The sequence below is a fragment of the Homo sapiens genome, chromosome 18, assembly GCF_000001405.40.
Source record: "Homo sapiens chromosome 18, GRCh38.p14 Primary Assembly".
Classification (NCBI taxonomy): Eukaryota; Metazoa; Chordata; class Mammalia; order Primates; family Hominidae; genus Homo; species Homo sapiens.
This window is the reverse complement of record NC_000018.10, coordinates 73,376,882-73,392,328: the sequence shown is the minus strand read 5'-3', so window position 1 is coordinate 73,392,328 and position 15,447 is coordinate 73,376,882. Positions and strand designations below refer to the sequence as shown.

The window sequence follows — 15,447 nt, the reverse complement described above, 5'->3', positions numbered from 1 at the left end:
CAGGCTTTGTCTAAGATGTTACTTATTTATATTGCTTATTATGTGTCTAACCACCCGCCAAGGCTGGAATTCTTGTCTGTTTTCTTCATTGCTGTATCTCTAACACCAAAAGCAATGTTTAATACATCCTTGAGTCTTAAGTATTTTTGGAATAAATAAATAAAAATTAGCACAGACCTATTCCATTTATTTCAATAAACATTTATCAAGCACCCATTTACACTCCTTTTCTGCCCATGAAAACACTCATTTTGACTCAGGAGGAATCAGACATTTAAGTAAAGGGTTGGGAAGTAAAATGAAGCTGGAAGAACAATGTCACATCTGAGTTGGCAAAAGGTATTGTTTCTAGGTTCAGTACAGAAAGTATAAAAGAGGGGGCAGCCATCTCTGAGGAAAGAGCCAGGTGATGGGCGTGACGCTGTCTTCCTCCATCTGTGCTTTCTCTTCCAAGCTGTGTTCAAGATGATGGTGCTCTTTTTCATTCCAGTTATTTTTGATGTATTTTCAAGCTGTATAAAATAAACTGATTATATTAGAGGTTCTACTTCTATTTTTAGCTCACAGACTATCCATTCACACATTCATTCATTATAAAAATGTTATCCAGCATCTACACTGAACCAGCACCACAGCAGAAAATGTCATTACAGGAAAGTAAAGTAAAAAAATTGGCAATGGACTTTTAGGGTATGTTCCCCATCTCCAAAGAACACGTCCTACTTACAGCCTAAAGAAGGTCTTGCTCTCGAATTCGAGGCTCAGTAAGGCATAGATTAATTCACCCCACTATTAATGTGTAGCCAACTTAATCCCAGGCTCTGGATTAAGTGGTCCATATGTAACAGTATTGGTGACATCTAGAAGACCTTGCAACAAGTCACAACCTACTTATTTAATTTCTATTTTGAATAAAAATTGTCTTGGAATGATTCAGAGTATATTTACAAACTGCTTGAGTAAAGTACTATATTAAGCCATCTTACTGCATCCTATTGTGTTTATCTTCACTTGTCAGAAATTGTGTGCTGCTGATTTGGAGAATATGGATGGCTTTCAGGTCTGAATGGGTAGACATCTTATTTTTATAATGGAGCCAACCCAAACAGCACATATTTCTTTTTATTTATTCATCTATTTTATTTTGTTTTATATATATATATATTTATTATACTTTAAGTTCTACGGTACGTGTGCACAACGTGCAGGTTTGTTACATATGTATGCATGTGCCATGTTGGTGTGCTTTGCCCATTAACTCGTCATTTACATTAGGTATCTCTCCTAATGCTATCCCTCCCCCCTCCCCCCACCCCACAACAGGCCCCGGTGTGTGATACCATCATTCTTAGCAAACTATCGCAAGGACAAAAAACCAAACACCGCATGTTCTCACTCATAGGTGGGAATTGAACAGGAAGGGGAACATCACATATTTCATAGTTAAGAGTTAATACTGAGCTGAGCTGAATTCACACTACTAACCTGGAAGTGAAAGGACTCATTTTTCTTTACATCAGACTCCTAAAATGTCAATTTCTTGAAACATTCAGAAAATGACTTGAGCTAAATTTGTATTCTCTCCATGATCACACACACACAATCACACACACACTCATATTCATATGTCACATTAGAGTTACACAAATTCAAATACAAGGAGAACCAAAAATGTAAACAAGAGGTCAATAAGAATCATTTTTTGGAGATCCTGGACTGCTAGTGTCCTGGGTTCCCAGTGGTCCCAGGCTCTGGATTAAGTGGTCCATATGTAACACTATTGGTGACATCTAGAAGACCTTGCAACAAGTCACAAAGTCCACGGTGCCTTTTAACTTAGCAGGACTGATGGCAACATGACTGTATTTTCAGGGAAGAATGAAAATCAGAACGGTTCCTTTGGTGTTCTGGTGAGAAGTGGGGAATTGATTAAAAATACATTCGGAGGGGTCTTCTTAGTATTTGTATTCTTTCGGGCATGTGTATTTAATCTTACCTCGTGAACTTCAGTATTTATGTCATGAGCCTCTGAGAGGTACCACTGAGAAAATAAAAGCTTGTCAGGCATACTTAGGGCCTTTCCCAATCTCTAGGATCCTCTCTGTAGTGAAAGTGAACTGACTTTTGTTGCTACTGTCCCAGCCTTGCTGACGGCCCTCATCTCTCGCTTTGACCTGTTGTCTTCCTCTGTCCCGGACTGGCCACTGTTCCGGGCTCTGCTGTCATTTGGCAATTTCATCTAAATCTGTGATTTCATCTGACACTTCTATCTTTTTTATTTATGCCTATTGAGAATGCTGCTTTGCAGAATCACTGTTCAGAAGCACCATTTGATTATGCATTTCCTAGTTAAATATTTCAATTAAATGGGAATTTTCCACATAATAAAATTAAAATTCCTAAGCAAGACGTTTAACCCATTCTACCTAGGTTTACACTAGTTTTCTAACATTATACACCATTAAATTATCTTAAACCCCTTCTCTTTTTTTTCCTTTTTTTTTTTTTTTTTTTTGAGGCAGGGTTTTTCTCTGTCACCCAGGCTGGAGTGCAGTGGTGCAATCACGGCTCAGTGTAGCCTCGACCTCCCGGGCTCAAGAGATTCTCCCACTTCAGCCTCCTGAGTAGCTGGGACCACATGTGTGTGACACCATGCCTGGCTAATTTTTAAAATTTTTTGTGGAGATGGGGTCTCACTCTGTTGACCAGACTGGTCTTGAAGTCTTGGGCTCAAGCAGATACCCCTGTCTCTGCCTCCCAAAGTGCTGAGATTATAGGCATGAGGCACTGCCCCTTGTCTTTTTAACCCCAATTTTTAATAAATGAAGTGACTTTTGATGTTCTTGCCTATTGTTATTTCTAGTACATTGTTCCCTCACCTGGAAATGACTTTTGCCACCTTCGCTTGTTGAAATCTTATATGTCTATCATGGTCCAGCTCAATCACACATCCTCCATTAAAGCTTTCTTGATCCTCCAAAATAAAACACTTTTGTTACACTCCAGTGCTTCCAGCACATTAGATCCACCTATTACCTATCTATCATATAAAATGGGTCCTATATATCTTAGGGTGATATCTACATATGATAGGTAGGTAGATATGTGGCTATAATGTGCTGGAAGCACTGGAATGTAATACATTACTACACATTATATATATCCACCTATTTACCTACCTAGCATATATAATGTGTCCTATAATATACATATGTACATGGATATGTACATATCCAACCCTAACCCTCCTATGATATACATATGTACATATATATACATATGTATACATATATACGTATATCATAGGACCCATTATATAAGATAGGTAGGTAGATAGGTGGATAGAAAATCATTAGAACTGAAAATGTTCTTAGAAATCAGAAAGTTAAGTAGTATTTCAGGAATTATATTATCACTGAGGTGCTTTTCTTTATATAAAATAGAATGTGGATGCCTAAAATATGAAGTAATTAAAGATACGAAGTAAATTAAATAAATAAATGCATATTTTTTCTGTATGAGGGACCTGGAGTCACTACATTATTTGTCCTGCATATGCTACCTCCAGCTTCTAAAGGGTCCTTCAAGCAGGGTCATGTGGAATTTTTTTTAAATTTTTAAAACACTTTTTGGGTACATAGTAGCTGTATATATTTATAGGGTACATGAGATGTTTTGATACAGGCATGCAATGTGAGATCAGCACATCATGGAGAATGGAATATCCATGGTCTCAAACATTTATCCCTTGAGTTACAAACAATCCAATTACATTTTTAAAGTTATTTTTAAATGTACAATTATTATATTACAACCACTATGGAGAACAGTGTGAAATTATTTTGATTCCAAATAACAGAGTTTGAAAACCACTGGCCTTTTCCAACCCTGTACCTTTAAAAATGATGCAACCCCCAGCAAAATGACTTCCCAAAGTGGGATATCCATGGACCAAAAGGGGCCCTCACTGGAGGCTGCGGCCTCTTCTATCAGAAGTTTGGATTGGGGATACAGGGAACTGGGGAAATGTTACTCAAAGGATAGGAACATTACAGTTAGGCAGAAGGAATAAGTTTAAGAGATCTATTGCACAGCATAGTGACTATAGTTGATGATGTATTCTTAAAGAATGCTGAGAGAATGAATGTTAATTGTCCTCACTACAAAAATGATACCTATGTGAGACAATGTATATCTCAATTAGCTAGATTTAACCGTTCCACAATGTATATATACTTCAAGATGTCATATTGTACATAATTATGTACTATTTAATCTGTCCATTTAAAATAAATAAATGTAAAATTAAAAATGTTATTTTACAAATTAGGGATGAACATATTATCTGTAATATACAGCACAAATATTTTCTCCCAACTTGTAATTCATCTTTTGACTTTATTCATAATTTAGCACGTTTACAAATAATCATGTAATCAGTTTTTTTCAGTTCCTGATCTTTTTTTTCTTGTTGAATATTTTATTTTATTTTTTTTATTGCATCAAGATTTTGAGTCATAGAATGAAAAATTTTCAACAGGTTATTGGGGAATCATCCATACTTTATCTTAGTAACTCCAGGATTTCAATTTTTTTTACATTTAGGTATGTGATCTACTTGGAGATGATTTTTATGTGTAGTCTATCTTTCCCTGAGTGACTTGAAATGCTGATGTTTTAAAATAAGTAGTTTCATAGGTACTGTATGATTTCTTGACTTTCAATTCTATGTTACTTATCTGTCAACTCAGGTGTCACTACCACACTTTTCATTCTAGAGTAAACAACACAAAGCCTTCCTATCCTATTTTTAACTTGTCTTTTTTCCTGATTCAGTGTTTGCTGAGTTATCATAAACCTGTGTTTCCCAGGGTTTTAACAACGTTGGTTCTGACAGTCCCTACTTTCTTCTCCCCAGGCTTTCTTTGGAGCTGCCTACTCTGCCATTTTGCTGAAATCAACCCCTGCCCCTTTTCTTCCTCCCATACATCCAAGAATCCCAAGGACATCTCTTCTATCCTTTTAATCCCATTCTCCCCATAATTTGAACTTTCCAGGACAGTTACCTTGAGTTCCCTTGCAGTTCCTTTGCTGTAGTCAGTGATCTCATCTGTACAAATACGTTCACATTTTCTGGTGGGTCATTTGGCCCTTTCTCTCTCTCTCTCTCTCTGCTTTTTTGTTGTTGTTGTTGTTGTTTGCTTGTTTGTAATAGGGTCTTGCTCTGCCTTCCAGGCTGGGGTGCTAAAGTGCAGTGGCATAATCATGGCTCACTGCAGCCTTGACTTCCTGCGTTCAAGAGATCCACCCACCTCAGCCTCCCAATATTCTGGGATTACAAACATGAGCCAACATTCCTGGCCTATTCTTCTTTTTCGTGCACGTTTGCCAGACTCACGTCTCATTCTTTGTAAAAGCTGTGGAGAAAGACTGACAGACAGCACTATAAAAAATTTGAAACACATTTTTCTACTCATGACTAGTTATAACTACATCGTGTTTTCCGTGCCCCAGTTATTCTGAAGACAGGGGATTTATTTTGTTCTATTTGTGACTTTTTTTTTTAACTATAGGTTTTGGAGGATATATGGAGAGATTCAGATTTAGGTGGCTGGCATCACCTACTCAGAAGTTCTCCAAATAATTTTAAAAATTCATGTGTAAAAGATTCAATATTATGATAATTTGTTAAACTCAGATACTAGCTACAATTTCATAGTTTTATATACTATTTTTCAAAAGAAATACATTTAGCATTCATACAGCAGGTAGCTGCATAGTGTGATGGCCAATACATTGTGCTGTACATTTGCATTAAGAAAATGAAGGTTGTTCTGAAGAATCATGAAAATAGTGAGGCCAAGAGAATATTATTTTCTGTTAATATGCCTATGCTATTCTCAGAAGAACAAGCAAAAAAGGAAGGAAGAAAAAAAGAAACAGTAAGAAAGATTTTACTCTAAAATAGCTACCCAGACAAATAAAATAATATAGATTTGGCTGTCCCATGGAGTATTAATAGGTGGTCCTATTTAAGCAATGCATACTTAGGATCAGCAAAATTTCAAACTTTTCTATCACTGAGATAATATCACTCTTTCTTTCTTTTCCTTCCTTCCTTCCTTCCTTCCTTCCTTCCTTCCTTCCTTTCTTTCTTTCTTTCTTTCTTTCTTTCTTTCCTTCCTTCCTTCCTTCCTTCCTTCCTTCCTTCTTTCTTTCTATCCTTTCTTTTTTTTCTTTCTCACCAGGCTGGAATGCAGTGGCATGATCTCGGCTCACTGTAATCTCCGCCTCCCAGGTTCAAGCGATTCTCCTGCCTCATCCTCCCAAGTAGCTGGGACCACAGGTGTGCACCACCATGCCCACCTAATTTTTGTATTTTTAGTAGAGACGGGGTTTCACCATGTTGGCCAGGATAGTCTCAATCTCTTGACCTCATGATCCACCCACCTTGGACTCCCAAAGTGCTGGGATTACAGGCGTGAATTATCACTATTTCTTAAGTAGACAATGGCACCCAGAAATTGCTTAAATTTGCTATTATATTCACATTTTTATTCCACTTAATCAACAGACAGTTCAGTGTTCTTTAAAATGTACATAAAATGTATTATATGTTGCAGAAGTATGAGGATATCTCATATTCATAATATGCCTTCTAAAAGTTTGTAATCCAAGTTAAAAAAAATGCCTTTAGAAGAACTAAAGTGTATCTAAAACAGGTGTTAATTCAATGTCAAAATCAGTAATGAAGCCGGGAAACAGTGCTATTTTGATGTTATTTCCTAACATTTGGGAAAATATGCAGGAAATGGTTTCAAGTATTAATGGAGAATACTAAGGGTTTTAGCTGCAGGAAGAAATGAGAACGGACTTATTGTCTTGGGTTAATTAGAGATCTTTTATTGCAAATAAATTTGTATAAATAAATTAAATACATTTCAAGTAAACAAATAAGTGAGTAAATAACTTATTTGTATTATAATTATGGAAGGTAGAGATGTTTTATCAACCTAAGAACCCCGGAAATATTCTGAATTTGGGCACTGGAGACCTATGTTATATCTTCGAAAATATTAGTGACCTTGGTTATATCCCCCCTTCCGTTGCATTTCTCCTACAGTCTCCGCACATAGCCTTCATGATTTTCTTTCTCTATAGATTTACATTCCTTCATTCTTAGTTACACAATGCCTGTGCTACAGCTTGAACGTCTTAGGTTAGAGTTCTAAATAAATTCTCAGATTCAGACCAATCAGGCCATTATATTTGTTGACCAAAAATTAGGTTCTTGGACTTTTGAGAAACGATTTTCTTTCATGCAATGATCGAGTTTACATCATTTACTCAAAGATGAAGTTCAATCTTAATATCATAACCTCATGTGGAATATTATCTATTAATGTACCTTTGCTCCCATAAAACGCTTCAAAGCAAATTCCCCAAGAGTTATCTTTTTCTATAGTTTCTCCTCACTCTTCTATAGAGCCTTCTGAATCATTTGTCCTTGGTACAAGAAGCATCAAGATTTCAAGGTGTGGAAAGAATGAGTGTGAGAGGTCTCAGCAGCAATAAATTACATTGTTTCGGGATCAAACTATTTTGCCTCCAGTGATAAGGGGTAACACTAGTTTTCAAGGAGGAAAGAAAATTTCACAGCCTGTGTGTGATTGCACATGAAATTATGTACACCACTGGAAAAGTCTAAATGTATGTTTCCAATAAATCATTCTCTTATCTTCAAAATCTGACTGCTCTCCAGAAGTGATAGGCAATATTGTGAAGGAAGAAAAATTGTTCTCTCGAGCCCTGGTAGCATTTTGATTCTTTTCATTCCATACTATAAGTTCCTTTCTTTCCACCCCTGAACTCTAGTCGAATCCCTTTTCCAATGGTGCAATCTCATGTGGGCCTGCCTGACTCATATGCTTAAATACGTTCCTTTCATTTCTCCTTTCAACTTAATAAAAATACTTTTCCCTTATTGTTCAGTTTTTATGATTATGAAGTGATAGAATAATTATTTTAATACATGACTCAATAAACTATTGAAAATAACCTAAAATGGTATCCCGGCACTTAAAAGATTTTGTTGAAACTCAGACTAGTTTTTCCCCCTTGGCTCTACTACTTATAGGGTAGGCACACTCTAATGTATTTCAGAGTTATTGAAAAGATAAAGATATGTCTACAAAGCCTCTAGCACGCTGCCTCTCATATAATATCAAATGAAACATTGCTAGTATCTCACATAATGGCATATTCTGTTTACGTAAAATATATGGAAAGTTCATCTGAAAGAATTTCTGAAAGAAATTTTGGACAGTGTCGTCATGTAGAGAAGATACTATAGTTCATCAGATTCTTAAGTCTGTTCTATACCTGACCTCCTTTCACATCTCTTTGGTCAGGGCCCCTTTCCATAAATCACCAGTTCAACCTCTTCTCCATTTAGTCCTAATTATCCTGTTCTTTGTAAAATTCTCATTTCATATTAATCTCACAGGGTTACCATCAGAGTTCCTTACCCACATCTTTGTGATCTCATGGCAGAGTTTACTCTCAGCACACAATCATAATGTGCAAAGAGTAGAGTGTTCCTTATTTTTCCACAACTCACATTACCTTCAATGACCAGTCCAGAGTTATTGTAACTTAATAACTGTCTAATTGGAGTTTCTGTCTCTTTTCCCCTAGAAAAGGTTACTGCAGCTTTGTGAAGTATCAGGGGTCGGGTTGGGGTGTTGAATTTGTACCCTTGTCCACATAGGTGTTGACTGGGGGCAACTGTCCTTATCCAGTGCTGGCTCACAAAGGTCACCTTTGCAGTGTCTTCTGTTCTCACCTACATGACCTCCCATATCTGATGGCCATTGCCAGTAATTTTCTGCCATGTGAGGCTCTGCAGTTATCTCTTGAAAGATACAGAAGATGGCATTCTTCAAGACTCTCCCTCTCCCCTGCTCCACACAACATAAAGCAGAAAATACTTTTCTCTAATTTTTCCCTTGATGTCTTCCCCTGAGACAATGGACCCAGAATGACGTGGGTGCTAAAAATAAGAGAAATGAATGGCAAAAAAGAAAGCTATCAATGAAAAAAATCATTTCACAAATCTACTAGTGCTGTCCAGGTATCACACAGTATTCTCTGAAGAATGCAGTCTACCTCTCTCCATCTTGTATGCTGTTAATATTCATTTAACACAGTGTGTGATGACAGCAAATGTTCAAAATAAAACCAAGTTCCATTGCTAATTCTGTAGTCTAGTGTACATTTTTACTTCTTCATGTTTCAGTTTTTCATCTGTAATATGGAGTTAATATAATAGCTGCAGGGTTATTACCAAGATCTAAAAAGATAGAAGATAAGTTAATACACAACACTTAAAATGTTCTGGGCATATATTAAATCCTCAGAAATGTTATATATTATTACAGATGCTTGAGTCAAGCCTCCAGTTACTTAAAACTACTTAAGACAGTTTTGAATTCATTCTCAAACTCACAGCCCCCTCCTACAGGTCTCCAAGTAGTGATGCAATGGCTTGCTTTTAAGATGCACATATGCGTAATACAAAACATATTTGGAATAGTTATACGTCCCTGATAAGCATGGGTAATTTAAACCAAATCTGATATTACTTCTGAATTCTCCCCAATCACCTCTCCTAGACCCAATTGTAGATGAAACTGCAACAAAACTACTCCTCACATATCTTATATTGAATAAACAAATTGGTTGTGTGACTTTTGCTGGCAAAGCATGACTGCTTGTCATTGTAAGTAACAGAGGCAGATAATGGTATTGATATATTATCGAGAATTTTGGGAGGGGGTCGATTTTAACAAAGGATCAAGGTATAAGGCAGTTGAACATGCTAGAATTTGAGTAGGAAAGTAAAAGCTTAAGGTTGCTGGGAAACAGCGGAAGAGTGAAAACACCTCTTGATGTATCTCGAACTGTTTACAAATCAGGCATTCACTTCAGGACAAGACTGAGTAAGAGACACTGGATTTACTCTTGCCTACAACAAGTAAAAATCAGGACAAGATATATGAAACAAGGTATTTGAGATCAGGCAAATCAAGATGAGAATCCATGAGAAGAGGAAAACCAAATGAGGTGAATTCTACAACTGCCCCAATTTACTGCTGTAAAAGAAATTCTATGTCATAGCATCACACTTATCAAACTATATACACGAAACATGGGCAATTTGTTTTATGGCAATTATACCTCAGTCAAGCTCTTAAAAACAATTAAGTTAACACATATCAAACATCTATCACATTTCATCTTGCTGTAAGCACATTCACTGTAGATTCTCAATCTCTCATAATGCAATGACCCAATTTTGCCATATAACTTATATACACAGGGTAAACACAGATTTGATTCAATTCCCTTGATTTTTTTTTGATACCTCTGTTTGTTTATAAAATACTGACACTGTGCCAAAAAGGCAATAAAAATGTTTAAAAAATGATTCAGAGTACACCTATTCCTGAGTCAGTGGATCATTTTTGTGCACATTTTGTACATACACTTAAACTTCAACATCCTGTTACCCTTACAGAAAGTGCTGATAAATATTTCTTTTAAAAGGAAGAAAGGGCATCAAACTCATTATTAGATGGGGTATCTGTGGGAGTTTCTGCCATTTTTGCTGTATTATCAGGCAACTCATATCTGCATTTCAACTTTTTTTGTAACTAAAATGAAAGAGTGGTATCTGAATTGTTTTGTTCAGTGTGGTGGCACTAGCCCTGTGTGGCTATCTCCATTTAAATTGAATACAATTAAAAATTCACCTTCTTAAGTGCACTAGCCACATTTCTGGTGATCAACAGCTAAACTTGGCTAGTGATGGTACTGGGTAGTGAAGATTTTGGAATATTTTCGTCATTACAGAAAGTTTCTGGATAGCTCTGGGTTCACTGGCCCACCTTCCCCTGAATATGCTGTATGACAATTGCTGCTTATCACAACAATGCGCACACATTTTATAAAAAATTTGGCATACAAAATGAAAACATTATTTTTTTCAAGTCTTTCTCTAGTTATTCTAAGCAAATGCTCATTGAGATCAGCATGGAAATATGCAGTCATCTTCAGAAATGAACTGCCCCCAGGGTGATAGTACAAGAAAAACTATGTTTAGTTATCAGCCATTTTCTCTTTCTGTGGTTTAACTGTCTAGTGGAAGAAAAAACATTATTTTTATTCTTATTTTAAACTAAGTAAAGTCATTTTCCTTGAAAAATGTTTTGATTTCTTCTGTTTTCTTATTTTTTTTCACCATAATAAGTATCATATTTTCAAAGATTGAAGAAGTGCCTTTGGATCATTTTTGGAATCAATGCAATTACAAGAGTTATAGACAATTTTATATTCTTTTGCCCTCAAATTGTATTTGATGTCAAAACGATGCTTTTATAACACTCTTACCACATTCTCTGGCAGAAATGTAGATGGATGTATTAGTAATTCCTAGAGGATGTCTGAATTTTCCTTTCTTTCTTTATTACTTTTATATATGCAGAAACTTTATATAACATAATTTTGATTCAATGTATAACCACTATGGTAAAAGCAGTAATCTACTTCTAGGTTCTGATAATCTTTCTTTTGGTGAGAACAGTTGAATTCAAATATTTAAATTATCTAAAAGCACAGACTCAGGGACACGGCTAATAATAATTCTGTCAGAGTACATAAATAAATATATCATTACTTACTGGTAGAATTTAATATGTAGTCTTGCACTTTGATAACAATTTGATAAAGCTAACAACTTATTGTAAACTTGGCTTAACACATTTGAATTTTCCAGCAAAGCATGCTAAGACATTATGAAGAAGGGGCCAAGATTAAGCCAGTTTTATCCCAACTAACCTTGTTCTTGGTTGGCCACTGACAGGGAGTGTGACAGGGTCAAAAACCTTCAAAATTAGCATATCTTAGGAGACAGTGGCAACTTGATCTGATCTAGATTGATAACAAATTGAAGGGGTTTATTTAATGATAGAAACTAAAATACAAAAACTCCCAGGTAATGGCAGTGAGTATAAATATGCCGAATTGGGAAAAATAGTAATAACTGCCTCACAGGAATGTTCTGCAGACTTAATTTATATATACATACATGCACATATACATGCACATATATAAGCAAATATAGTAACATATATAGCTACAGAATTCAAGTCAATTTTAAGGTTTAGCTAAATTTATGGAATAAATTTTATGGATTCTCAAATAAAGTGAATGTAATCATAGAAGTAAACTATAAACATATTTCTTTAGAAAAATATGTTTCAAGATTTAAAGGGCTTTAGGAATTCTGTCATGATTCAATGCAGTAATTATAAAAGAAGGAGGTAGATTGTAAACTTAATTTTCATATTTGTATGGCACTTTTTTCACAGTCTCCATATCATTTTTAATACATTGCTCTATATTCTTTTCATAAAATTTAGGAGAAACTTAGAAATTTCCTGAATACAAATAAGGATTATATAATTATAGACAGCAGTTAATCTCAGGGAGTGGTAAACAAACTCTTCATTTTTTTTAGTTAATATTAGGAAATTTCTGTAAAAAATATTTTTAAGTATACCACATTAAAATCAGTTTAAAGATTTGTAATGAACAAATAAAATATCTCAAATAATTCTTTTGATAGGTAGTATAATGTTAAAGAACCAAAGAAAATAAAATATACTGAATATTATCAGATAATCTTTTCAAAATTACAGTTCTTTGTCTGGCTTGGTGAAAGAGGCAACCAGAAATCATATCAAATTTTAGTTTCGCTGTTGACAACTGATATATCCTGGGGCTAGTCCAATAAATTGGCTGTCTTCAATTTCTTCAGTTGAATGTAGGAATAATATGAATAATTACTCATTTGGATGAATATTTTGAAAATGTAATAGGTTATCAAAAGTGATAGATATTTTATGATGATTTAATTTATAAATGAAAGGATGAACTCATATTAGTTTATATAAAATAAATGTGACACTTCACCAAGAAATGATTTTGTTTCATACACAATTATTCTCAGAGCAAACTTTGATTCTCATCATTTACTTTTATTATTATTTTTTACATTTATTACTCCTTAAGGCTAAGTTTTTGGCTTTGCAAAGATATTAATTAGTAATTATCCAAAAGTAAGTTATTATAATTTCAGCTTTTTATTCTTGTTTATTTGAAGTTATTTAAATATAATTTGTAAATAATCTTTCAATAGGTATTTTAAAATATTAAAAAAATCCATTATTAAAATGATTTTCACTAAAAGTTAATGTAAATTTTATCTATACTTAGTATGTTTTCAACTGATTTACAGAGAGGATGGGGTGTAATATTTCTTTTGTTTCACATTGGAGTTATGTTTCATATGGAAGATAACATATATGAAGTGTTATCTATATCTGAAATGAACTAAAAATAAATGATTTTTTAACATAACAGATTTTAGAAAACTGAATGTAACAATGGAAATATATGTATTTTTAATTTTGGGGACAATATAAAATTGTGAAGCCAAAAAAAATCTTAAAACAAAAAATCAGTAAGATAATATTTTATTATAATGGAAATAAATTGATAGGAAATAGGGCATGAGAAGATTCTATTTTAGGATTGTCATTTATAAAAATAACTAACGTTTGATATTAGTCTACCTAGCTTACTGCCTCAATAATGCAAACACTTCTAGATAAATGATTATTCTAGAAATATTCTAAACAGTTGTTGCTTTATTTCCTTTTATGTTTACAGGTTTTGAAAATATATGCTTATCTTTTGAGTAGCAACTGTGCATCTTTGAATTCTTCTAACTCAGCTGCAGCATTTACTTTTTTTGTAGGAAAAACACCGGGCTCCATTTGAGACGTCTGATGTTCATAATGCCAAGAATTATTTATTTGTAATAATTATAGTTCCAAACGTAAAAGTGAGTATATAATTTACTTAAAAATATCCCCTTTTATTTTTCTCTTATACTTTGAAATAAACATTTTTATAATATAATTTATGTTCAAGAAAATGTACCCATTTTAAATGTATAATTTCACAAATATACACACCATGTAACCCCCCAATTAAGGTGTAGAATATTTCCATCAACTTACAAAAATTCTCAGGGCCTTTTGCATTCAATCTTTCACCCTAATTCCAAGTCCTGGAGAACCACGAAGTTGCTTTCTTTTACTGTAGATCAGTTTGGCTGTTCTGAAATGTCATATAAATGGAATCATAGATTGTGTTTTCTTTAGTATTTGGGTGTTTTGCTTAGCATGTTTCTGAGATTCATTCATTTTGCTGAATGTTTGAATATCTTTCTTTTTTTATTATACTTTAAGTTCTAGGGTACATGTGCACAACGTGCAGGTTAGTTACATATGTATACATGTGCCATGTTGGTGTGCTGTACCCATTAACTCATCGTTTACATTAGGTATATCTCCCAATGCCATCCCTTCCCCCTCCCCCCACCCCACAACAGGCCCCAGGGTGTGATGTTCCCCTTCCTGTGTCCATGTGTTCTCATTGTTCAATTCCCACCTATGAGTGAGAACATGCGGTGTTTGGTTTTTTGTCCTTGCAATAGTTTGCTGAGAATGATGGTTTCCAGCTTCATCCATGTCCCTACAAAGGACATGAACTCATCAGTTTTATGGCTGCATAGTATTCCATGGTGTATATGTGCCACATTTTCTTAATCCAGTCTATCGTTGTTGGACATTTGGTTTGGTTCCAAGTCTTTGCTATTGTGAATAGTGCCACAATAAACATACATATGCGTGTATCTTTATAGCAGCATGATTTATAATCCTTTGGGTATATACCCAGTAATGGGATTGCTGGGTCAAATGGTATTTCTAGTTCTAGATCCCTGAGGAATCACCACACTGACTTCCACAGTGGTTGAACTAGTTTACAGTCCCACCAACAGTGTAAAAGTGTTCCTGTTTCTCCACATCCTCTCCAGCACCTGTTGTTTCCTGACTTTTTAATGATCACCATTCTAACTGGTGTGAGATGGTATCTCATTGTGGTTTTGATTTGCATTCCTCTGATGGCCAGTGATGATGAGCATTTTTTCATGTGTCTTTTGGCTGCATAAATGTCTTCTTTTGAGAAGTGTCTGTTCATCTCCTTTGCCCACTTTTTGATGGGGTTGTTTGTTTTTTTCTTGTAATATCTTTCTTTTTTATTGTTGACTAGTGTTCCAGTGTATGGATACACTACTAGTAGTTTATCCATTCACCTGGTGATGAACATTTACATTGTTTCAAGACTCTTGTTTGACTATCACAATTAAAACTGCTATGAAACATGCATCTACACATCTTCTTGTGAAAGTACGTTTTCATTTTTCTAAATTGCCTATGAGTTGAATTGCTAGTTCATATGTTATAATATTGGCCA

General features: G+C 34.7%; 1 long non-coding RNA gene across 2 annotated transcripts in view; it reads left to right on the top strand.

Annotated features, from left to right (window-relative positions):
- LOC105372190 (uncharacterized) overlaps positions 1 to 13,962 on the top strand; it is a 312,925-nt gene extending 298,963 nt beyond the window's left edge. The window contains exon 7 of one of the 2 annotated variants that reach the window (XR_007066468.1): positions 13,883 to 13,962. This is a non-coding gene — a long non-coding RNA (uncharacterized LOC105372190). Of the gene's footprint in view, positions 1 to 9,977; positions 10,127 to 13,882 lie in introns of those variants that run through there. The other variant, XR_007066469.1, reaches the window with a different exon arrangement.
- The last annotated feature ends 1,485 nt before the right edge of the window (positions 13,963 to 15,447 follow it).